Here is a 23,261-nt window from a genome sequence, read left to right as displayed (position 1 = left end):
CAGGTGCCTGCCACAACGCCCGCCATCGCACCCAGCTAACTTTTTGTATTTTTAGTAGACACGGGGTTTCACCGTGTTAGCCAGGATGGTCTCGATCTCCTGACCTTGTGATCCGCCCACCTCGGCTTCCCAAAGTGCTGGGATTACAGGTGTGAGCCACCTCGCCCAGCTGGATTAAGTGCTTTTTAACTTTATTATTTATTTATTTATTTATTTACTTACTTATTATTATTATTATTTTGAGACAGATCTCACTCTGTCACCCAGGTTGGGAGTGCAGTGGCCCAATCTTGGCTCACTGCAATCTTTGCCTCCCAGGTTCAAGCAATTCTCCTGCCTCAGCCTCCCAAGTAGCTGGGATTACAGGTGCCCTCCACCATACCCAGCTAATTTTTTTTGTATTTTTACTAGAGACGGGGTTTCACCATGTTGGCCAGGCTGGTTTCGAACTCCTGACCTCAAGTGATCCTCCCACCTCGGCCTCCCAAAGTGCTAGGATTGTAGGTGTGAGCCACTGCACCTGGCCTAGATTAAGTATTTTTAAATTTGCAGATTATATAACAGATTATATAACTGCCTGGCCTTGGGCAGGTCACGAAACCTCAGTGTCCATCTACCTCCCCATCTGTGAAGCAGAGATCATGACAGCATCTGTGGTGAATTCTGGAAACTCTATGGTCAGAGGGTACAGGTTCCACAAGGCAGCCCCCACTTCAGACCCCAGCCACAACAATGAGGGTCCCAGGACCACCCTCACTTTAGACCAGCTTGCTATGAATTTGGGGGCCCGCACAACCACCGTCTCATTTGATAATTTTCTAGAATGACCTACAGAACTCAGGAGAGTGCTATACTTAACAATTATAGTTACCGCAAAAGGTTACAAATTAATGGCCTGGCGCAATAGCTCACACCTGTAATCCCAGCACTTTGGGAGGCTGAGGCAGCCGGATCACAAGGTCAGGAGTTCAAGACCAGTCTGGCCAACATGGTGAAACCCCACCTCTCCTAAAAATACAAAAATTAGCCAGGCACGGTGGCGCACGCCTATAATCCCAGCTATTGAGGAGGCTGAGGCAGGAGAATTGCTTGAACCCAGGAGGTGGAGGTTGCAATGAGCCGAGATCAAACTACTGCACTCCAGCCCAGGTGATAGAGCAAGACTCTGTCTCAGAATATATAAATAAATAAATAAATAAATAAATAAGTTACAAATTAGGACCAGCCATGGGACAAGATGCACAGGCCAAAGTCTGATGGGATCTAAACGCGGAGCCTCTGGCCATCTTCTCCCCAGGGAACCCTGGGCGGTCTTCCCACCTCCTGGCCCTAATGCCTGACAACATTCAAGAGTGCTTCCTGCCAGGGAAGCTCACCTGAGGCTTTGGGGTCCAGAGCTTTTCCTGGGGCTCCATCACACGCTAACCATGTGACTCACCTATCCTCTTCAGTCCCTCTGGAGGTCGGCACTGATACGGGATGTCCTGAGGCCCCCATCATAAACCGCATTGCTGGACCCTCCAGGGGCCAAAGCCCTTGGGCAACAAAGACACTCCTGTCAGGAGGGACATGGTGTGGCCTAGAGATCACCCTCCTCCGCGGTAACCAGGTCAGAGGCCAGGCATTCTTTGGGTCAGTTACCTCTCCTGCACGCAGTGTCTAGCTCCTAGGGCTGTGAGGGTTCTGCGAGCTAATCCCTCAAAGTGTTTGTTGCAGTGAATGCTTGATACATGTGAGTTGCCATCATATCACAGCACTGTATTTAGAAAGGGCACTGTCTCAGGCTGTTAGAGCAGGGCTGAGTTTTGGCTGGAGAGATGATGCTATAGATACCAGGGACCCTGCCCTGTCAGGTGCAGGATTTACAGCAGGATGAAGGAGAACCGCCCCGGTCTCTTGAGCCCCCTCACCCTCTCCCAGAACCCTAGAAGGGAGAGTTTCCAAGAGCACAGCGTTCCCAGCCAGTGGACCCTCAGAAAATAGAAGTTGACCGAGAGTCTAAGATGGGCTTGAGCAAGGCAGTTTATCAGGGCTTTCAGCTGGAGCAGCAAGGGGGACAGTACAGGAAGAGACCTGCAGCTGGCTCCCCAAAGCTGGTCGGACTGTTGATTTATTTTCCTTCCGGCCTCCTCCAGATGACATCATTGCATGTTTAGGGTGGTCTGTCCATCATGACTGCACAGTCTCTGTCACGCTTCTTCACGCGACGCATGTCTCATTAGCATCTCAACTTTCCATCCGGGGTATGATGTTTACCATTAAAATGAAGCAAAGGTACAGTTAGGGCGGGCTAGGACCTTGCTGGGGATGTGCATTTGGGGATTGTGGAGAGTCCCTACTGTTAACAGCCACGACATTTGTGGTTTAAGCACTCTGTGTGTTTTAGATTTACTTGGCCTATTTTTGTGAAAGGAAGCGTTTGTGGTTACAGGGCTGCATGGCTGAGTATGGCTGCAGTCAGCATGGTGTGTAAGGAAAACAGGGACCCTTCCCCCGTCCCTGTTCTGCTTTCCCCAGCTGTCTCAAAAAGGGCACTTACAGCGGGGCGCCAAGCGAGGGGAACAGGCAGCTAAGGCTGAAGACCCAAACTCCCGACGGCTCACAAGCAGGGGTTTTGTTTGTTTGTTTGTTTGTTTTGAGACCGAGTTTTGCTCTTGTCGCCCAGGCTGGAGTGCAGTGGAATGATCTCGGCTCACTGCAACCTCCGCCTCCTGGGTTCGAGCGATTCTCCTGCCTCAGCCTCCCGAGTAGCTGGGGTTACAGGCACCTGCCACCACGCCTGGCTAATTTTGTATTTTTTAGTAGAGACGGGGTTTCACCATGTTGGCCAGGTGGGTCTTGAACCCCTGACCTCAAGTGATCTGCCCACCTTAGCCTCCCAAAGTGCCAGGATTACAGGCGTGAGCACAGGCAAGGGTTTTTAAAGGCAGGGATGCATTTCAGGAAAGCGAGGGGTGCATTGCAGGTAAAGTTGTAAACCCATACATGGAGGCTGTACCTCAGTGTGGCCATGGGCATGATTCTCCAGGCCTCTCAGGATGAAATTCTGAACAAAGAACGGCAGTCAGAGTGCCGCCCTCGGTTCCCCACATCTGAGGTCTATAGGATAGAGGCTGGCAGTGGGGGTTTCTGAAAAACAACTCGAGAACATATGTGAAGATGTTATCTTTAGTTTCTGTAGGAACCAAAACACCTTGTTCCTCTGGCTTGCTTGGGAGGCTCCTGTTGCTCTCATCTTGTTTGTTGCTATCTTCCTGCTTATCCGGCTGCTCATTTATTCTCCAAGGCTAGCTAGTGCCTGGAATTTCTCCTGAAGGAACTCAAGACTTTTCCTTTATTTCCATGCTGTGGTTGGGGGGTGGGTGCGGGCAGGCCCCTAGGCGGGTCCCCGCTCTGTCTCTGCATCAGGAGAACTCATGGGACCCCCTGCAGAGAGCCTTGAAATGTGTCTCCTGCAGCAGAGAAATGCAAAGCATGGACACCTGGCCCAGCCTGGAAATGCGTGAGTGAGGGGGCCAGGGGTCTGCCTCCCCCAGAAACATCTCCATGGTGAGGAAATGGCTGTGGCCATTCGGGTGGTGGAGCGGGAGCCCTACAGGCCCAGGTTTGTGTGTCAGGGCAAGGAGATGGGAGTGTTCCTTGCAGACCAGAGAGAGAATCACAAGGGGCTACCCAAGGACCCTACCAGTGGGGCCGTCTGGAAGGGGATGGGGCAGTGCCCAGAAGGATGCTCGGGGGGGCTTCTGCTGGACGTCACATGGGACTACTCAGGATTTGAGGAGCATCCCCCAGGGTCACAGGGACCCAGAGCCCAGCAGGGAACCTTCCAGGAGCCCTTGGAAGCCAAGAGGGGAAGCTGTCCAGGCGAGTGAGGACCACCCTAGCAGGTTCCCACCTCCTTCCCCCCAACCCCCTCTCTCTGCCAGGGCTGGGGCAGATCATCCGCCCCATCCCCTTCCCATTGCAGCCTCTGGACTGGAGCAGGCTGAGCTGGGGAAGGGAGAAGATTCAACCCCTAGTTCCCTTGAGAGATATGATTAAATATCATGGGCTTGTAGGGGTGGAAAACTCATTTGTTCCTACAATACTCATAAGTTCTCAGCTGGAACAGCCTCCTGGAACAAAAAGACAGATTAACAAGAGAAAGGCAGACGTGCATCAGCATGCATGCTGCCTTTTTCTTTTCTTTCTTTCTTTCTTTTTCTTTCTTTTTTTTTTTTTTTTGATATGGAGTCTCGCTCTGTTGCCCAGGCTGGAGTGCAGTGGCAGGATCTCAGCTCACTGCAACCTCTGCCTCCCAGGTTCAAGCAATTCTCCTACCTCAGCCTCCTGAGTAGCTGGGATTACAGGCGTGCGCCACCACACCCAGCTAATTTTTGTATTTTTAGTAGGGACGGGGTTTTGCCATGTTGGCCAGGCTGGTCTCGAACTCCTGACCTCAAGTGATCCGCCCACCTCGGCCTCCCAAAGTGCTGGGATTAGGCCCAGCCAGCATACACGTTGCCTATGTGCACAGGAAGCACCCAGGGAATGCCTGGTTCTCAAAGAGATGGCTTTGAATCCCAGATCATGTTGCATCTTCCACAGAGAACAGTACATCTTTGGAGAAGTCACAAGACAAAGGGAAAGGACTTTGGGTGCAGCCCCCTGGAGAGGCACAGAGCTGGCGGGTGCAGGCTGGCTGGGGAAACCTGTTCTTGTGGATGCCTCTGGAGCTGGCCTCAGGCCCACAAGGGTGCAAAGGTGTCTTCAGTGGCTCAGCTTTGCTCCGTGGTAGAAAGGGGAGTGGGACAGCTTCTGTCTCTACAAATCTATGTCCTGCTTTTAGGCAAACAGAGGGAGTGCAGAGCTTCCTGCACCTGCTTCTTCTTAACTGCCCGCAGCTCAACAGCCTGATGCCAAAAGGTGCACATTTTGGGGCGGCACATTTCTGATCTTCCACAAGCTGAATATTCTGAAGACCAAATTAAGACTGTGTTTGCAACCCAGCGTGGCCACGAGCTATTACCTAAGAGAAGGAGCTGGGGCCATGCATTTGCTAATGTTTGCATCCAGGGGTGAGGGACAATGGACCTCCTCCCATCGACACATGAAAGGGCAGGGGAGAAAAAGCAATGACGTCAGGAGCCAACAAGGCAGTTACCCAGAGAGACAGGACTGGAAAGGTTTACAGCCAAATGCTAGCGGTGGGTATTTGGGGTGCGGACGGGATTGTAATTGGCTTTATCTTATTCTGTGTGGTTTTCTCTATTTTCTCATTTTTCTACTGTGGATGTGAATGACTTATATAATTGGGAGGAAATGCTGGGTGTTTTTGTTTTATTATTTTTATTTTTATTTTTTAATTCTTTTTTGAGGCAGAGTCTTGCTCTGTCACTCAGGCTGGAGTGCGGTGGCGCGATCTCAGCTCACTGCAACCTCCACCTCCCAGGTTCAAACAGTTCTACTTCAGCCTTCTGAGTAGCTGGGATTACAGGCATGTGGACCACGCCCGGCTAATTTTTGTATTTTTGGTAGAGATGGGGTTTCGCCATGTTGGCCAGGCTGGTCTCGAACTCCTGGCCCGAAGTGATCCACCCATCTTGGTCTCCCAAAGTGCTGGGATTACAGGCATGAGCCACCACGCCCGGCCTCTGTTTTTGTTTTTTGTATAAAAAGGAAGGCACTCAGGATAGGGAGTTTTCCTTTGCAACTGAATTCTGGAGTCTTGGTATGAAACAGGCAAAGCTGGTCGACCGTCCGGCCTGCTCAGGGAGGCTTCCCCCAGAACCCCTCAAGGTGGCCTCTGGTGTGGGGACTCTGGGATTTTCTGCTTTTGAGCTGGAATTTTTTTCCCCTGCATGTGGCATCCTTCACAGAGATCAGAACAGGGCAAAGGCAATTTGAAGTAAGGAGCCCAAGATAGTGGGAGAAAAGGAGAAAAATAAAACCTCATTGTCTTTGACATTTCTGGAAGGCTCTGGGTTAATTGCAGTGCTGGGAACTATGTGTGGAAACCACAGAGCCTGCTCCTCCCCTGTGGCCAGGGCAACTTCTGGAATACCCTGTAATTAATAGTGTCCTTTCCGGTAGTGGCTTCGGTAGTGGCTTCTCAGCCTCTCATCAGGCCCATCTCCTGGAAACAAAGACCTGTTCAGAGGTGCTGGGCCTTCTGGTAATTTCCTTCCTCAATCCGTTTGTCTGGAGAAGAGTTCACTTGAAAAGGACTTCCAGTGAATTCCATTTTACGATCACAAAAGCACTGGGGGCAGTTGCCGTAGCAACCAGGGATGGGCCAGTCTATTAATTTGTAGAGGAACAATGATGGATGTCCTGACCCTCACAGGAAGCCTGAGGTCGGCATGACCATTGTTTCTCTGATTCTCCTCCCATCATCTCTGAGCAAGGGAAAAATAAACCTGTGTGGTCAGCACTGGACCAGAATAAGAGAATTATCCAGAACCTCCGAGGCCCCTGGTTCGTCAATGTCCCCTGCTCCGGCTTCTTTCCAAATATGTTTATATCCTGTCCCCGACTCTCCGAAAACAAGAGGCACAAGTGTCAGCTGTGTGTTTAAATAAATAAATCTCCATCAACCCCAAAGGACAAATCCGGAGATGCCTGGTAAAGAAAACAGCTTCCCAGGGCAAGGCCCTGGGGGAGGGTGGGGTGGGAGGCCTCTGAGGGATTTCTCAGTATCCACCTGTCTGCCTTCACAGTCTTGCAAAACTTTTTTTCTGTTTTTGAGACAAGGCCTCACTCTGTTGCTCAGGCTAGAGTGCAGCGGCGCAATCGTGGTTCACCTCAGCCTTGATCTTCTAGGCTCAGGTGATCCTCCCACCTCAGCTTCTCAAGTAGCTGGAACTACAAGTGTGCACCACCAAGCCTGGGTTTAAAAAAAAAAATTACTTATAGAGATGGTGTCTTGCCGTTGTTGCCCAAGCTGGTCTCAAACTCCTGGGCTCAAGTGATCCTCCTGCCTCAGCCTCCCAAAGTGCTGGGATTACAGGCATGTACCACCTCACCCAGTCCCCAGTCTTGCAAAACTTAATGTTGACTTTCATTTTATCTAAGGATGAAGGAAAGTCAGGGGGGTGTAGGGTTAGAGCTCAGGAAAACCTTGCCTGAGGTTGTGCTAAGAGATGGAAGGAGAGGCCGGGCACAGTGGCTCACACCTGTAATCCCAGCACTGGGAGGCTGAGGCAGGAGAATTGCTTGAACCAGGACCTGGGAGGTGGAGGTTGCAGTGAGCCGAGATTGCACCGCTGCACTCTAGCCTGGGCTACAGAGCGAGACTCTGAAGAGCTGGAAGGAGAAGCCCAGGAAGACTGGGAATCCCTTCCCCTAAGATGCTATACCAGAGAAGAACCTGGGGAGCCAGCGATTGCTCCTCTCATCTGTAAAACCTTCCATAGGAGCCCCCATGCTTGGTTCAATACAAAGCCTACAGCCTCTCCTCCACCTGCAGAGCTGAGACCGGCAGAGACCAGGGAGCATGGTATGCCTTGGACAAGAGATGGGAGGGGCAGCAACAGGGCCACCTCCCTGGCCCCAGTTCCAACTTGGCCTTTCTTTCTTTTCTGGCACTTTCCCAGGCAGACCAGAGCCATGCACTCAATTAACCCTCAACGCTGGAGAAATTGGTCTTCAGCCAGAAAAATATAAATATAAACAGGCACCGCAGCGTTTTCTTAATCTTCACAACAGTTCTATGGGCTAGGACTGCCACTGCCCAGAGGGGGACCTTTTTCAGATTTACCCAAAGGTACCACATAAAGCCAACAGCCACCCCAGTAGCCTCCGCTTTAGACAGGAAGAAACTCAGAGAGGTTAAGTAACATATATAAGATCACACAGCTGGTCAGTGGTCATTGGGATTCAAGCTAAGTCTTTCCATTTCACCGGTGGAGAAATCAAGGCTCAGAGAAGTGAATTATCTGTGCAAGTTATACAGCCAAGAGGTGACTGAGCAAGGCTTCGACCTCATCTTTGATGTCTAAGCTTGTGGTTCCCACCGTGTTATGTTGCTGATGCTCTACCCAGCAGAGTCCCCGGTCTCTGGACATTTCCCTTTAAACACCGCATCTGTTGAGGTCTTTTGCTCAGCAGAACCTTGCTTTAGGCAATGCTATAGAATGCAAAGACCAGGCTTGGATCCCAAGATCACTGACCAGCTGTGTGATTTTAGACATGTTACTTAACCTCTCTGTGTTTCTTCATTTCTAAAATGGAAGCTGTCAAGGTGGCTATCATATGGTACCTTTGGGCAAAGCTGAGAAAGGCTCCCCTCTGGGTGATTGAAGCCTGTGTGTGGGCTCCCAGTTGGGTGCATGGAGCCCAGGCTGGATTTCAGCCCCGCTCAGCATTTGGCCTTTTGCTCTTGTGTAGTGAAAACCTGCACAACTGTACAGGGCGGCCTTGGGAACTGCAGAGGGTCTTGGATGCAGTGAAAAACAAGCTTTGGAATCAAAGATGAGGGCCTGAACCCTTGCTTGGTCATATGTGCAAAATGTCTTGTGCAGCAAAGGTGCAACGAATGGGGGCGAAAACAAGAAGCAATGCCTTGAGCAGAAGCAGCTCTGATGGCCAGGGCGTGAACTAGGGCTCCAGGGCCACGCTGTCTCCACATTTCCAATCCTCATAGGACCTGCTCCTGGCTAAGGGCAAGAACAGACTTGGGAGAAGGCAGGGAGCTGCCCCATGATGGGTCCCTTCCTGGCCACCCCAGAGCCGAGCCGGAGAGTTAGACCAACCAGCTGTGTATAGCCAGCCCTGCCTGCCTTCTCCCTGCCCACCTCCACTGACGCAGGGCTGTGGTTACAGAATGCAAAAAGCCCTTGTATTCCTCTGTTCTCACATTGCTATTAAAAAACGCCGGCCGGGCGCGGTGGCTCACGCCTGTAATCCCAGCACTTTGGGAGGCCGAGGCGGGCGGATCACGAGGTCAGGAGATCGAGACCATCCTGGCTAACACGGTGAAACCCCGTCTCTACTAAAAATACAAAAAATTAGCCGGGCGTGGTAGCGGGCGCCTGTAGTCCCAGCTACTCGGGAGGCTGAGGCAGGAGAATGGCGTGAACCCCAGGGGGCGGAGCCTGCAGTGAGCCGAGATTGCGCCACTGCACTCCAGCCTGGGCGACAGCGAGACTCCGTCTCAAAAAAAAAAAACAAAAAAAAAAAAAAAAAAAAAACGCCTTGAGACTGGGTAATTCATAAAGAAAGGAGGTTTAATTGGCTCACGGTTCTGCAGGCTGTACATGAAGCATGGCGCTGGCCTCTGCTCGGCTTCTGGAGAGGCCTCAGGAAACAATCATGGTGGAAGGCGAAGGAGGAGTCGACGCCTCACATAGGGAAAGCAGGAGCTGGGCCAGGAAGGTGCTACACACTTTTATTATTATTTATTTATTTATTTTGAGATAGAGTCTTGCTCTGTCGCCCAGGCTGGAGTGCAATGGCTCGATCTCTGCTCACTGCAACCTCTGCCTCCTGGGTTCAAGCGATTCTCCTGCCTCAGCCTCCCAAGTAGCTGGGATTACAGGCGTGTGCCACCAAGCCTGGCTAATTTTTTATATTTTTAGTAGAGACAGGATTTAGCCATGTTGGCCAGGCTGGTCTCTAACTCCTGACCTCAGGTGATCTACCTGCCTCAGCCTCCTAAAGTACTGGGATTACAGACGTGAGCCACTGCACCCAGCCTGCTACACACTTTTAAACAAGCAGATCTCAGGAGAGCTCACTCTCACTGTCCTGAGGACAGCATCCAGGCAATGGTGCTAAACCATTCATGAGAAGCTGCCCTCATGATCCAGTCACCTCCCACCAGGCTCCATCTCCAACACTGGTGATTACAATTGAACATGAGATTTGGGTGGGGACACAGACCCAAACCATGTCAGCTCTCAACCTCCCACTTCAAGGTATGTAGCCCCATCCAGGCCAAGTCCCGGAGCTTGGGGCTCAGCCCTCCAGCATGCCTTATGCGTGGCCACGCCCTCCACAGACTCCAAAAAACTGGAATCAAATTCCCTCCAGAGTCAGGAAAGGCCTCCGCGCCAGTCACAGGGTGTGGCTGCAGAATCATGGCCCCCAAAGGTGCTCATGTCCTAGGCCCTGGAACCTGTGACCATATTACCTACATGGCAAAAGGGACTTTGTAGATGGGGCTAAGTTGTGACGCTGAGATGTGGAGAGTGTCCTGGACTATCCAGGTGGCCCAATCTCAGCATGTGGCGGCTCAAAGGGGAAGGGGGAGGAGAAATGATGGCGATGTCCGGCGTCTCATCACACATCCGTGTGGCAGGAGGTCACGGGTCCTGAGCACAATGGAAGCTTTGCAGGTGGAACCCTCCGAGACTCCACCCCACACACCTTACCCTGTGGCTGGTTGATTTGTATCCTTTGTTAAAATAAAACTGAAATCCTAAATTGAATAGTTTCCTGAGTTCTGTAAGCATTCTAGTGGGTTGGAACTTAGGGGGTAACAGAAACCCCTGAATGTACAGCCAGCTGATCAGAAGTGAGGTGACTGGGGACCCCGACCTTGCAGCTGAAGGGAGCGCAGTCTCCTGTCCTTCATCTGTGATGTGTGGCCCAAATCATGGTGACTCCCTGCCCTGGAGGAAGGGTGTCCCAGGGGTGGCCAGAGCGTGGCCTTCTGCAGCCTGGGGCTCAGGGCAGGGGTCCCACTTGCTTAGGTGGAAGGGTGGTCCCCAGCTTTAAGGGACAGCTGTATTTTAGGATAACAGGCTCTGAGACAGTGCAGGGGAGGAATTGGTAGGAGCAAGCTGGTCCAGGTGGCACGTAAGGGTCTCAAGGACAGTGAGGACAGGAAGAGGCGAGCCCCTAGGCTCTGCTAAACCTCACACAGGTAACCTGGGGTCACCCCACAAGCTTCTACCAAGTAGCCAGTGGTTCCCTTGACCTGAGGGCTTAAGGCATAGCAAAGCCCCGCAGAAGTGCAAATAGGGCCGAGTGCTCCAAAGTCCCCTGAGGTACTGTCTGGAACCCTGGAGCATTCGGCTGGGCCATAGCTTCCTGGAACTTCCCATTGATTTTTCTCATGCTTGGATTCCACTCTTCCCAGCCCCAAGCACAGAGAAAAATTGAAAATCAAATTTACCAAGAAGGGATAAAAGAGAAAGCTGACTTGCATTATAATGATTTCTTTTTTTTTTTTTTTTTGCCACAGCTAAAATTTCCCTTTTAAATAGCGAGCACCCCTGGGGCAGTGGAAATGGAATTCAACTTACAAAATCAGGGTTCACGCTCCAATTTTAGGGACCCCTCTACTGCACTGGGTAAAGCCAACCTGGCCTCTGAAGATCATATTTTGGAGGGTGGAGGAAGAAGCCGTTTGCATGTTACCCATCAGACAGCGGCTCTGAGGCAGCGCCCACAGCAAAACAGACGTCATTCTTCCCAGTTTCCTAAACCCTGGCGATTTCAGCTATTATATTAACAGATAAATATTTTTGCAGGAGATTCTATTTGTGCTCATGCGATTTTATTCTGTTTAATAAAGGAGAGTTGTTCAATGCGTAACAGAAAGTGACTTCATGTTTACGGCTGTTTGGGTGACGCTCCCGGGATGCACTGTGGTTGCCTCAGTCATGGCAGCGGGAGGGGGAGTTCTCGTTATTAGGAGGAATCTTGCGCCTGCCGAGGAATCAGGGATAGCTGAAGCCCCAGGCTGGGATGAGCTGCAATGAGGCAGGCCACATGGTGCAGACCTGGCTCTTGTCATCTTTTTCTTTTTCTTGAGATGGAGCCTCGCTCTTGTTGCCCAGGCTGGAATGCAACGGCGTGATCCCAGCTCACTGCTACCTCCGCCTCCTGGGTTCAAGCGATTCTCCTGCCTCAGCCTCTCAAGTAGCTGGGATTACGGGCACGCGCCACCAAGTCTGGCTAAGTTTTGTATTTTTAGTAGAGACGGGGGTTTGCCATGTTGGCCAGGCTGGTCTCGAACTCCTGACCTCAGGTGATCCCCCCGCCTCGGCCTCCCAAAATGCTAGGATTACAGACGTGAGCCACCGCGCCCAGCCTCTTGTCACCTTTTTTACCTAAATGCATTCTCAAGTTGAAGAAGGGAATCCAGGGCCACCATTTTTGGCTCAGAAAATAGAGAGTTTTTCCCTGAGTTTTCTTTTCCCCTGCCTTCCCCAAGATGAACTTGACTTCTCTGTACAGCTGCTCCAGCAGGAATTAAATTGCTCCTCTACATCCGGGGATCCCAGTTGCTATTGCCCCTCGGGTACTCGGACACTGTCCTCCAACTACCTGGTCACTGCAGAGGCCCTCTCCTCCCCATCGCTACCTCCCCCACCGACTGTGACAAGGTGGGCTGTGGGCCTCTTTCTCTACCTCAGTAGGGAAGTCTTGGCTGTTTGCAAAAGCTTGCCTGCGGCTTCTTTAACAAGAGGTGGGGGCAGATGCTTGAGCCCAGGAGTTCAAGTTTGAGGCTGCAGTGAATGAACCCTGATCGCCGCACTGCCCTCCAGCCTGGGTGATGGAGTGAGACCCTGTCTAAAAAAAACAAAACAAAACAACAACAACAACAAAAAACTATTCAAGAAAAAGCCTTTTCTGGCAATTTAGCTGTGAGTGTGTGTCAAAGTTGAGCACATACCAAAAATCAGCACACACACAAGTTCAGAATCCTCTCTGGAGAGGGGTGGGGACTCCCAGGCCCTCTATCTGAGCGTGTGGTGCAGACACCGCTGAGCTCAGGGCAGAGATGTCACTCCTAATTTGGGCTGGGGTCTTTGAGCGAATGTGGGTGGGAGTTTGTCTCTGAGGTTTCTGAGACACAGGGCTGAGTGCGAGTGTGACCTGATGTGGGGGACCAGCAACTGAAGAGTGGCAGCCATTCCGGGCAGCATCTCCGGGCAGCACTTGCAGCCTGTGGGCACCCACATGTGTGCATGCTCACGCACCTGCCCAGCCTGTGTGCATGAGCGCCCCAGGCCCACACACACTTCCCCTGCTGGGGCTACGTGGAGGAACACACACACATCAGTGTGCGCACTTTGCCAAGCGTTCGGGGAACAACGGGCAGACTGTTTCGAGGGAGTCCCACCTGGTGAGTGCTCTCAGCAGCCCCTGGGTGCCCACAACAGAGATTCTTTGCCAAGGATGCAGGCGAAGCCCTTTTCCCCAGCCCTGGCTCCCTCCATCTTCCTTCATCAGAGAGTGGCCCCACGTGGACTCCTGCGGGCTGGCCCGTCATCTCAGGCAGTTTGTAGTGGCCTGAAGTCTTGATTCCCATGAGTGACTCTAGCCTGGCCTCAGGGGCTCTGTCATTCTGGCAGCAGCAGGGGTGGGGTCTGCCCTCCCAGTCAGGAGGGTGCATTAAGAGGACTCATGGGGTGGAGATGGCCACGTCCCCTGGAACTGCCATCCCTGGGAAGAGAAGCTGGCAGACCGGACATTCTCCTTAGACTGCTGGGGAAGGGTTATCATGGGGGCTTCTGTGCAAAGGAATTAGAGGTACTAGAGTCCTCTAAGTTGTGGTCAGTAGATAGAAAAGGGCAGAATAAATGCTGCCTGTGAATTCCCTCCCAGGGTTTGGACGAAGCAGTCTCAACAAACTCTTTGGCCCTCGTCAAGCCTCAAGGTAAGGGATGGGGATGTGTCTGAACCTGGGGCCCCAGACAGAATCCCAAAGCCCAGCTTCTGATGCTCAGAGACAGAGACCAGATAGGCAGCCCTTCCTTGCTTCAGAATTCTGTCCTAACAGGGCTCTCATTTATCTGGGGACGCTCAATGCTAACAACAACAATAGTAATGGCTGTCTTTCAGGGAATCCAGCAAAAGAACCGCCACTGGCTCCTTGGGGCAGGCTCAGGAGCAGATTGATGTGCATCACTTCCCCAGGGAAGCCCCCAGCCCTCTTTGTCCCCTGCCCATGGTCCTGGAAGGCTTTGGGGCAGGAGAGCTGTCAACCACTGGGCTCCCAGGAAGCTCTCTGGCCGCCAGCCTACAACAGGCTGGGGAAGTATCAGAGGGAGCCCAGGCTCTAGTAACCTCTCAGCTGGCAGCAGACAGCGGAGGGGCGGGGGACGTCGTGATACACTGCAGATGGAGGAACGGCTCAGCAGCGGGGCCTGGAAGCATCCCTGGGACTTGCAGCAGGCTGTGAGCTGGATTCTCAGAGTTGTTTCAGCTTCCACATGGCCTTCTCCCCACTTCTAGGGCCTTGGGCCAGGGGAGGGGGCAGTAAAGGGCTCTGCCTGCTGGGAGCCGAGCAGGATGGAAGGTCTAGTCCAGTGACCAGGGGAGACACCATGACCAGGAGCGTCCTTGCACCCAGGCCCTGCTTGGGCCCCACACTGGAGAGGGCCCTGTCTGACTAGGCCTCACCTTGAGGGTGAGGGTCTGGGGCCACAAAGGCCCTACAGTCTTTTGTATACTCAGAGGGAATTATTTTCTAGGAACTTTATTGATTTTTTTTTTTTTTCTGTCTTTGAGACAGAGTCTCACTCCGTCACCCAGGCTGGAGTGCACTGACTCGATCTCGGCTCACTGCAACCTCTGCCTCCCGGGTTCAAGCAATTCTCCTGCCTCAGCCTCCCAAGCAGCTGGGACCACAGGCACCCACCACCATGCCTGGCTAATTTTTGTATTTTTAGTAGAGACGAGGTCTCACCATATTGGCCTGGCTGGTCTCGAACTCCTGACCTCAGGTGATCTACCCACCTCGGCCTTCCAAAGTGCTGGAATTACAGGGGATTACAGGGGTCAATCACCGCACCCTGCCAGGTTGTTTTCTTTTTTTTCAATTGTGGCAAAAAACACATAACATAAAACCACCATCTTAACCATTTTTAAGTGTACCCTTCAGTAGAGTTAAGTACATTCACGTTGCGATGCAGCCCATCTCCAGGACCCTTTATCTCGCAAAACTGAAACTCTGTCCCCATTAAATCACTCCCCACTCCCCCTCCCTCCAGCTCCTGGCAACCACCATTCTACTGTCTGTCTCTAATTTTAACTATTCTAAGAATCTCATATAAGTGGAATTATATAGTATTTGTCCTTTTGTGACCAGCTTAATTTATTTAACATAATGTCTCCAAGGTTCTCCGGTGTTATGGCCTGTATCAAAAATTCCTTCCTTGGTGCCAGGCATGGTGGCTCAGGCCTGTAATCCCAGCACTTTGGGAGGCCGAGGCAGGCGGATGGATCACTTCGAGGCAGGTGGATGGATCAGTTTGAGACCAGCCTGGCCAACATGGTGAAACCCCGTATCTACTAAAAATACAAAAATTAGCCGGGTGTGGTGGCACATGCCTGTAATCCCAGCTACTCAGGAGGCTGAGGCACGAGAATCACTTGAGCTTGAGAGGCAGAGGTTGCAGTGAGCCAAGATTGTGCCATTGCACTCCAGCCTGGGTGACAGAGGGAAACTGTCTCAAAAACAAAAAAAGAAAAAAAAGAAAAAAAAATTCCTTCCTTGGCCAGGCTCAGTGGCTCATGCCTGTAATCCCAGCGCTTGGGGAGGCTGAGGCGGGAGGATCGCTTGAAGCCAGGAGTTCAAGACCAGCCTGGGCAACATGATGAGACCCCCCCATCTCTACAAAAAATAAAAAATTAGCAGCGTGTGGTGGCTCGCACTTGTAGTCCTTGCTAGTCAGGAGGCTGAGGTGGGAGGATCACTTGAGCCTAGGAGGTTGAGGTTACAGTGAGCCATGACGGTGCCACTGCACTCCAGCCTGGGTGACAGAGCAAAACCGTCTCAAATAAAAAAAAAAAAGAAAGAAAAGAAAAGAAAACAAGAAAAAAAAAATTCTCAGGCCAGGCGCGGTGGCTCACATCTGTAATCTCAGCACTTTGGGAGGCTGAGGCGGGCAGATCACCTGAGGTTAGGAGTTCAAGACCAGCCTGGCCAACGTGGTGAAACCCCACCTCCACTAAAAATACAAAAATTAGCTGGGCGTGGTGGCATGCGCCTGTAATCCCAGCTGCCTGGGACACTGAGGCAGGAGAATTGCTTGAACCTGGGAGGCAGAGGGAGGCTGCAGTGAGCTGAGATCATGCCACTGCACTCCAGCCTGGGCAACAGAGTGAGACTCTGCCTCAAAAAAAAAAAAAAATCCTTCTTTTGTAAGGCTGATAATGTTTCATGGTATGGAAAAGCCACATTTTGTTTATCCGTTCATCCATAGATAGACACCTGGGTTGCTTCCACTTTTTAGCGATTGCAAACAATGCTGCTATAAAGTTTGAAGGAACTATTTTTTTTTTTTTTTAGATGGAGTCTCGCTCTGTCCTCCATGCTGGAGTGCAGTGGCGCAATCTCAGCTTACTGCAACCTCTGCCTCCCAGGTTCAAGCAACTCTCCTGCTTCAGTCTCCCGAGTAGCTGGGATTACAGGCGTGCACCACCAACACCTGGGTAATTTTTGTATTTTTTTTGAGTAGAGACAGGGTTTTGCCATGTTGGCCAGGCTGGTCTCCAACTCCTGACCTCAAGTGATCTGCCTGCCTCGGCCTTCCAAAGTGCTGAGATTACAGACATGACCCACTGCATCCATCCAGGAACTTTAATTTGGAAATATTTTCAAACTTATTTTAAAAAGTTGGAAGAACAGTACCAAAAAACTCCCGTGTATCATTTACCCAGACTCATCATTTTTTTAAAAATAAATTTTTATTTTTGAATAATTTTAGATTTGCTGAAAATGCAAAGTAATTACCACTCCCATCTCCATTTCACTCAGCTTCCCCCGATTTTAACATCCTACCTAACCGGGGTGCATACATCTGTCAAAACTAAGAAATGGGCACTGGTACCAGACTGTTAACTAAACTACAGACTTTGTTAGAATCCCACCAGTTTCTCCTCTAAAGTCTTTTTTTCTGTTGCAGGATCTAATCCAGGGTCCCACGTTGCCTCTAGTCAGACACCAGTCAGAATTGGTAAGAGATGACACAAGCCAGCTGAGACTGAAATGTCATTAATTGTCAAGTTCAAGGTGAAATCTCTCCCCGGTTGCGAGGAGGTGTGAGCAGGGCTCTAAGGAGGATTAGAGAGTGGAAAGGAAGCTGCTGTCTCTGACTGTCTGTGGAGAGGTGATGTGAGCACCTTGACCGCCTAAGGGGAAGACTTGGCCCAGGGCCTCTACGAACCCCACAGCCAGGGGCGGGAGGGTGCATAGGTCAAAGGTCCACGTGGGGAGCTATGCCTCAGCAGCCCCTTCCAGGCTGGAGGAGAAGGGAGGAGGGCAGCGGGTGCAGGGCTGGGGCGGTGCACAGGAAGCCAAGGGAAGCAAGCCTGGAAGCCTCTGCTCTTCCCCAGGAAGCAGGGTCCTCGGGTCATCTGCTAAGTGGGAGGGGAGCGGGGTGGGTTTGGGAGCCTTGCTGTGGCCCAGCAGGGCTGAGGATGCCCCAGAGTGTGGGGCAGGCACGTGCTGCCTCCAGGGAGGTGCGCTCCAGAGGCTGTGCAGGCCAAGGTGACACGAGGAGGCGGCCACAGGCTGATGCAGGGCTGCGTGGGCTGGCAGTTAGGACTGACGGTACAAGGAGGGGCAGTTAGGTGAGCAGCTTTGTTGTTGGGAAAACAAAGTGCTGTCCCTGTTCCACCTCAGACATGCAAAAGCAGCCACTGGCAAAGGCCTCCACCCCCTGGGTGGGGTCATGTGAGGAAGGCGATGCCCCTTCCCCGGTAAGCTGTACAGCTCTTTTCATGGCAATGGGTTTGTCTGACTCCCCAAGGTTTTATGTCTGTCCCCAGGGAGCTGTTCATCTACCCACAAGTGTTCTCTGAGCAGAACCTCCCAGGATGCTTGGATGAGAACAGGTGGGGTTTAAACAAAGGAAACCCCCAAAAGCCAAGCCTGGGCACTCGTGGTGGGATTCTGGCTGTGCGAGTCTGGGTGGGTGGGTAGGGGGACTGCCACCTCCCCTCAGAGTCTGTGACTTTCCTGCGTCTTGCCTCTGCACAAAACAAGCATGCTTCTGGGTCCCATGTCAGCCTGGAAATGGGCGGGTGGGGCTCTGTTTGTGGGTGCCTGCGACCTGCATTTGAAGACGGTGCTGCATTGCTTAAAATTGCAAACCCCTGTTTCTCTGATCACCAGTTTCCGGGGCTGCTGGTTTCTTTTTCCATAGCATCTTTCACACTATTTATCATGCATGCACTGTCTACTGTCCACTGTCTGCTTCCCCTGCCAGAATGTAGGCTCCTTGAAGGCAGGATCCTTCTCGGATGTGTCCACTTCTGCATCTCCAGAATAGCGCCTGGCAGAGGAAGAGCTGTTCGTGGATGCTGATCCAAGGAGGGTGTGCACCTCGGCCTGGTGACCCCAGGGAGTCAGCCTAGGGCCTCTCCCTGCAGATGCAGGATCTCCCAGAACAGGGGACAGATGCTCAAATGACACCAAGCTGCCCTTCTCCATCCTCCCTCCCACCTTCGGCTGCCTCTCTGTCAAGCATGAGCCACAATTCCCCCAATTTGCTAGCAAATAGTGGATTATTCCCTCCAGTACCTCCCTACTGAGCCCAGGAGAGACTGTGAGGTCTAAAGCTGTTTCTATGGCAACGGGATCAGGGATCAGGGATTTGATGCTACAGGAGCTGGTTAGGAGGCGGCTGGCTGCCTCCCCGCTCCTGGCGAGGGTCTTGTCTGAACTGGGGTGTGGGTGGGGTAGTATTGTCATGGGACTGCGTCATGAGATGGAAAACATCCAGACATTGACGGACCTTTATCCCAAATTCATCACCTTCTTTACTTCTCTAAGCCTCAGTTTCCACATCCCTAAAATGGGGATTAAAAGGCTGTTTTAGGAGTCACTGAGAAAGCTGCTATAAGGTACCAAGCATGGCCTGGGCAGAGCAGGGCTCGTGGATGTGAAACTGCCTGGCACCGAGAAGAACCTTGCCATGGCAGGGGTGGGCAGGCTGTGGGCTGACGCAACTCAGATCTGGAGGAGCTCAGGGCTGGTGGGAAAGCAGCCTTTGGTTGTAGGCAGTTTCCCCATTTCGCTTTCTGAATTCTCTCCCCAGTCTGCCAGCGGGCAAAAAAAGCCCCTCTCCAGCTCCAGAATACTTTATTTTCCCATTCGCATCCCCGCAGATAAATTTCAAGGCTACGCTTTACTCTCTTTCAAACGATAATCCCCCCTCCCCCCACCCCAGCCTCCCAAAGTGCTAGGATTACAGGCTTGAGCCACTGCACCTGGCCAGGGATCCACTCTTTTAGGGGCTGGCTCTCAGCTGGAGAAAACGTATGTGGGGCTAGTCAAGGCACCGCACTCCCTGCCAGTGTTTCCTAAATGGCATCTTGCCTTTCCCAGGAGACATGGCTTTAATCCATTCGAGGGGCACGAGTCCCCAGATGGCTCCAAAGAGTGACTCTTATGGCTGGGGTTCCAGGCTCCTGGACAGGCCCCAGCAGAGACCTCTACACAGCTGAAGTCTAGACCAGGGGCTCAGCTGGCCAGATTTACAAATGTGAATAAGATGAGCCTAATAGGGCTGTCTTCCCATCCCTCTCAAGTGCTGTGATTAGCCACAGAAAAGGTGAGTACTTGGCCAGGTGCAGTGGCTCATGCCTATAATCCCAGCACTTTGGGAGACCGAGGTGGGTAGATCACCTGAGGTCAGGAGTTAGAGAGCAGCCTGGCCAACATGGTGAAACCCCGTCTCTACTAAAAATACAAAAATTAGCCAGGCATGGTGGTGCGTGTGTAATCCCAGCTACTCGGGAGGCCGAGGCAGGAGAATTGCTTGAACCCAGGAGGCAGAGGTTGCAGTGCGCCAAGATGGCGCTACTGCACTCCAGCCTGGGCAATAGAGCAAAAACTCCATCTCGAAAAAAAGAAAGAAAGAAAGAAAAGATGAGTGCTGGAAAGGCCTGGAGAAACCACTAAACTCTGGCTGCAGACACCCAGCTACAGGGCCATGTAGGTGATGGGAGTGGGTGGGGAGAACCATAAGGCATGGCGGAGCCTGTGGCAGACTGGAGAGCATGTGACCCTTCTCTAGGGGCAGCCATTACCCAGCTCCCGTGGGCTGTTACCACGTGGGCACGTGACCCTTGTGGATGGATGATCTGTAATCCCACCTACTGGCACCTGTAATCCCAGCTACTCGGGAGGCTGAGGCAGGAGAATTACTTGAACCCAGGAGGTGGAGGTTGCAGTGAGCCAAGATCATGCCACTGCACTCCAGCCTGGCAACAGAGCAAGACTCTGTCTCAAAAAAAAAAAAAAAAAAAACAGAAAAAAAGTTGAAGTCCAATTTTTTCTCTTATGGTTTATGCTTTTTATACCTTATCTAAGAAATCTTTTCCTGACCTAAGGCCACTAAAATTTTCTCCTGTTTTCTTCTAGAAGTTTCATAGTTTTAGGTTTTCCATGTAGGTCTATGATCCAGCTTCAGTTATTTTTGTATATGGCAGAAGATATGGCTCTAGGCTCATCCTTTGGCATATTAATGAGCAATTAATTGTTCAACCATTTGTTGATATAATGACTTTTTTTTTTTTTAGAGACAGGGTCTTGCTCTGTTGCCCAGGCTGGAGTACAATGGTGCAATCATAGCTCACTCCATCCTTGACCTCTCAGGCTCAAGCACGCTGGCTCATGCCTGTAATCCCAGCACTTTGGGGGGCCGAGGTGGGTGGATCACCTGAGGTCAGGAGTTTGAGACCAGCTTGGCCAACGTGGTGAAACCCTGTCTCTACTAAAAATACAAAAAATTAGTGGGCTTGGTGGCGGGCACCTATAATCTCAGCTACTCAGGAGGCTGAGGCAGGAGGATCGCTTGAACCCAGGAGGCAGAGGTTGTGGCGAGCCAAGATCGCGCCACTGCACTCCAGCCTGGGTGACGGAGTGAGACTCCATCTCAAAAAAAAAAAAATTACAAAGTAATCTCACAATGTGTCAGGTGTGGTGGCTCATGCCGGTAATCCTAGCACTTTGAGAGGCTGAGGAGGGAAGATCACTTGATCCCTGGAGTTTGAGACCAGCCTGGGCACCATAGTGAGACCCTGTTTCTATTTTAAAATTTCATTTATTAAAAAGTATGTTTTAAAAAAAATCTCATGTTTTAAGAAAGTTTACAGATTTGTGTTGGGCTGCATTCAAACCATCCTGGGCCACATGTGTCCCATGGGCCACAGGTTGGACAAGCTTGTTCTATAGGTTTATTTTCACATTGCCCATCTTCCTTTGAGTGCAGGAGTCTGAGATGGAGATTAGCATGTAAGAGGCTTATAGGGAGCACTCTTGGACCAATAGCTTTGAGAGGGAAAGGAAAGCAGCAGAACTGAGCAAAAAGAGAAGTTAAGCTGGCACTGCAGTGTCAACAGAGACCTCAGCCTACCCTACGGACATGCTGAAAAAAATCAGACAACCCTTCTGAACTGCTTGGGTTGGGGTGAGAAGGCCAGGCCTCTGTACCCTGCATCAATCAGTCAGTCCAGTCTGAGCAGAGCCAATGACAGTGGCAAAGGACTAACAAAGTTCCAGGTTCTGCAGAGTTTGAGGGAGAAGCCCAGGAGAAGCCTCAGCCTTTTCCCAAGAGGATTCTCCTACTTATGTTCAAGGTCACACAATCTATGGACTCCAGACAACTGGCAGGACGTATTTGCATCCTAGCAAACTGAAACCACAAATGTTTTCTCTCTTCTATGTTTACTTTCTGTCTCCTTCCTACAGGTGATATGGGTGGCAAGGCCTATGTGGGGACGCTGCTTTTCTTAGGATAAATTTTGGGGAGGGGTAACAGCTGTTTCAGGATGATGAGTTATCCTGAAAAACCGCCCTCTCAACCACACCTAAAACTGCAGGTAAAACATTTTAAACACTCTTTGGCATACAAAGGTGAACTCAGAAGAAAGTGAAGGAAGTCCTCAAAGGTCCCAAATGAAGCAGGAGCACAAATCCATGGGGCCATCTCAGGGACTCGTTAGAACTTCGGGGAAGTGTTACACTGGAGACATTTGAAATTGGTTTATCATGGAAACCAAATCTGGTTCTAGTGAAAGGCAGCTTGGGCTCTAATGGCTAAAGAAGGAACACAGGTGTTTGGAACTTGTTGCTTTGGGAATTTAACTTCCATAAGGAGAGGATGATTTTGTTTGGCATTCTAATTCTTGGCGGAAACTTGGTCAGGGAAAGGTGTTTGTATCCACACTTTGGACACTGGGTATCTGGGCTTTCTGATCTCATGCTGTGCAGGGTAAACCCCTCCTTAATGACCTAGGTGTCTGTATTAGTCTGTTCTCATGCTGCTGATAAAGACATACCCAGACTGGGCAATTTACAAAAGAAAGAGGTTTAATGGACTTACAGTCCCACATGGCTGGGGAAGACTCACAATCATAGTGGAAGGCAAAGGAGGAGCAAAGGCACATCTTACATGGATGGCAGCAGGCAGAGAGCATTTGTGCAGGGAAACTCCCATTTTAAAAACCATCAGATCTCATGAGACTCATTTACTATCATGAGAACAGCATAGGAAACACCCGCCCCCATGATTCAATCATCTCCCACTGGGTCCCTTCCACAACACATGGGAATTGTGGGAGCTACAAGATGAGGTTTGGGTGGGGACACAGAGCCAAACCATATCAGTTTCCAATGTAGCTCAACATAATTTGAGATGGAAATAACCTAGAGTACAGGAGTTACTCGATGCTTTGTCTATCACTGGATTGCAGGAGCTTCAAGAAGACTTTTTATTTGTTTTTGTTTGTTTAAAATGAGAGTCTCACTATCTTGCCCAGGCTGGACTCAAACTCCTGGGCTCAAGCGATCCTCCCGCTTCAGCCTCCCAAATAGCTGGGACTACAGGCATGAGCCACCACACCTAGTTCTAGAGGGCTTTGAAGGGTCCTAACAAGGACTGCAGGTGTGTCCTAACACCTGCACTGGTCCTAACAAGACACGCAGGTGTGAGGACAATTACTGGGGAAACAGTCATATGGAAGTAAGTGCAGGGCTTTCTTAAGATTTGATTATTCTCTTCCCTGGAAGGAGTGGCTATAACTTGAAGCGGCCATAGGTTTTGCTGTTGATATGGTTTGGGTGTTTTGTTCCCTCCAAACCTCATGTCAAAATATGACCTCCAATATTGGAGGTGGGGCCTAGTGGGAGGTGTCTGGGTCATGGGGGTGATCCCTCATGAATGGCTTAGTGCCCTCCCCACGGTAATGAGTGGTAATGAGTTCACCAAGAGCTGGTTGTTTAAAGGAGCCTGACTTCTCCGCCCCCTTCACTTCTGCTCTCTCCATGTGATGCATCTGCTACCCCTTTGCCTTCCACCATGACTGGAAGCTTC

At 51.1% G+C, this 23,261-nt stretch overlaps 6 annotated features.

The window, feature by feature from the left end:
• Window positions 2,127-2,206: an enhancer, noted in NCBI's record as "active region_12818". NCBI's record gives its function as "activates an Ori minimal core promoter by ATAC-STARR-seq in GM12878 lymphoblastoid cells {active_cell/tissue: GM12878}" and the evidence as "EXISTENCE:reporter gene assay evidence [ECO:0000049][PMID:35858748]".
• Window positions 2,127-2,702: a biological region, named in NCBI's record as "H3K27ac-H3K4me1 hESC enhancer GRCh37_chr17:74993993-74994533".
• Window positions 2,162-2,702: an enhancer, noted in NCBI's record as "H3K27ac-H3K4me1 hESC enhancer chr17:74993993-74994533 (GRCh37/hg19 assembly coordinates)". NCBI's record gives its function as "activates a minimal SCP1, AML or CMV promoter by ChIP-STARR-seq in primed H9 embryonic stem cells {active_cell/tissue: H9 hESC(primed)}" and the evidence as "EXISTENCE:reporter gene assay evidence [ECO:0000049][PMID:30033119]".
• Window positions 4,873-5,414: an enhancer, noted in NCBI's record as "H3K27ac-H3K4me1 hESC enhancer chr17:74991281-74991822 (GRCh37/hg19 assembly coordinates)". NCBI's record gives its function as "activates a minimal SCP1, AML or CMV promoter by ChIP-STARR-seq in naive H9 embryonic stem cells {active_cell/tissue: H9 hESC(naive)}" and the evidence as "EXISTENCE:reporter gene assay evidence [ECO:0000049][PMID:30033119]".
• Window positions 16,820-17,357: an enhancer, noted in NCBI's record as "H3K27ac-H3K4me1 hESC enhancer chr17:74979338-74979875 (GRCh37/hg19 assembly coordinates)". NCBI's record gives its function as "activates a minimal SCP1, AML or CMV promoter by ChIP-STARR-seq in naive H9 embryonic stem cells {active_cell/tissue: H9 hESC(naive)}" and the evidence as "EXISTENCE:reporter gene assay evidence [ECO:0000049][PMID:30033119]".
• Window positions 17,358-17,896: an enhancer, noted in NCBI's record as "H3K27ac-H3K4me1 hESC enhancer chr17:74978799-74979337 (GRCh37/hg19 assembly coordinates)". NCBI's record gives its function as "activates a minimal SCP1, AML or CMV promoter by ChIP-STARR-seq in naive H9 embryonic stem cells {active_cell/tissue: H9 hESC(naive)}" and the evidence as "EXISTENCE:reporter gene assay evidence [ECO:0000049][PMID:30033119]".

Source organism: Homo sapiens, chromosome 17 (genome assembly GCF_000001405.40).
Source record: "Homo sapiens chromosome 17, GRCh38.p14 Primary Assembly".
In the NCBI taxonomy this organism is placed as follows: Eukaryota; Metazoa; Chordata; class Mammalia; order Primates; family Hominidae; genus Homo; species Homo sapiens.
The sequence above is the reverse complement of the archived record's forward strand: the minus strand, read 5'-3'. Positions and strand labels throughout refer to the sequence as shown.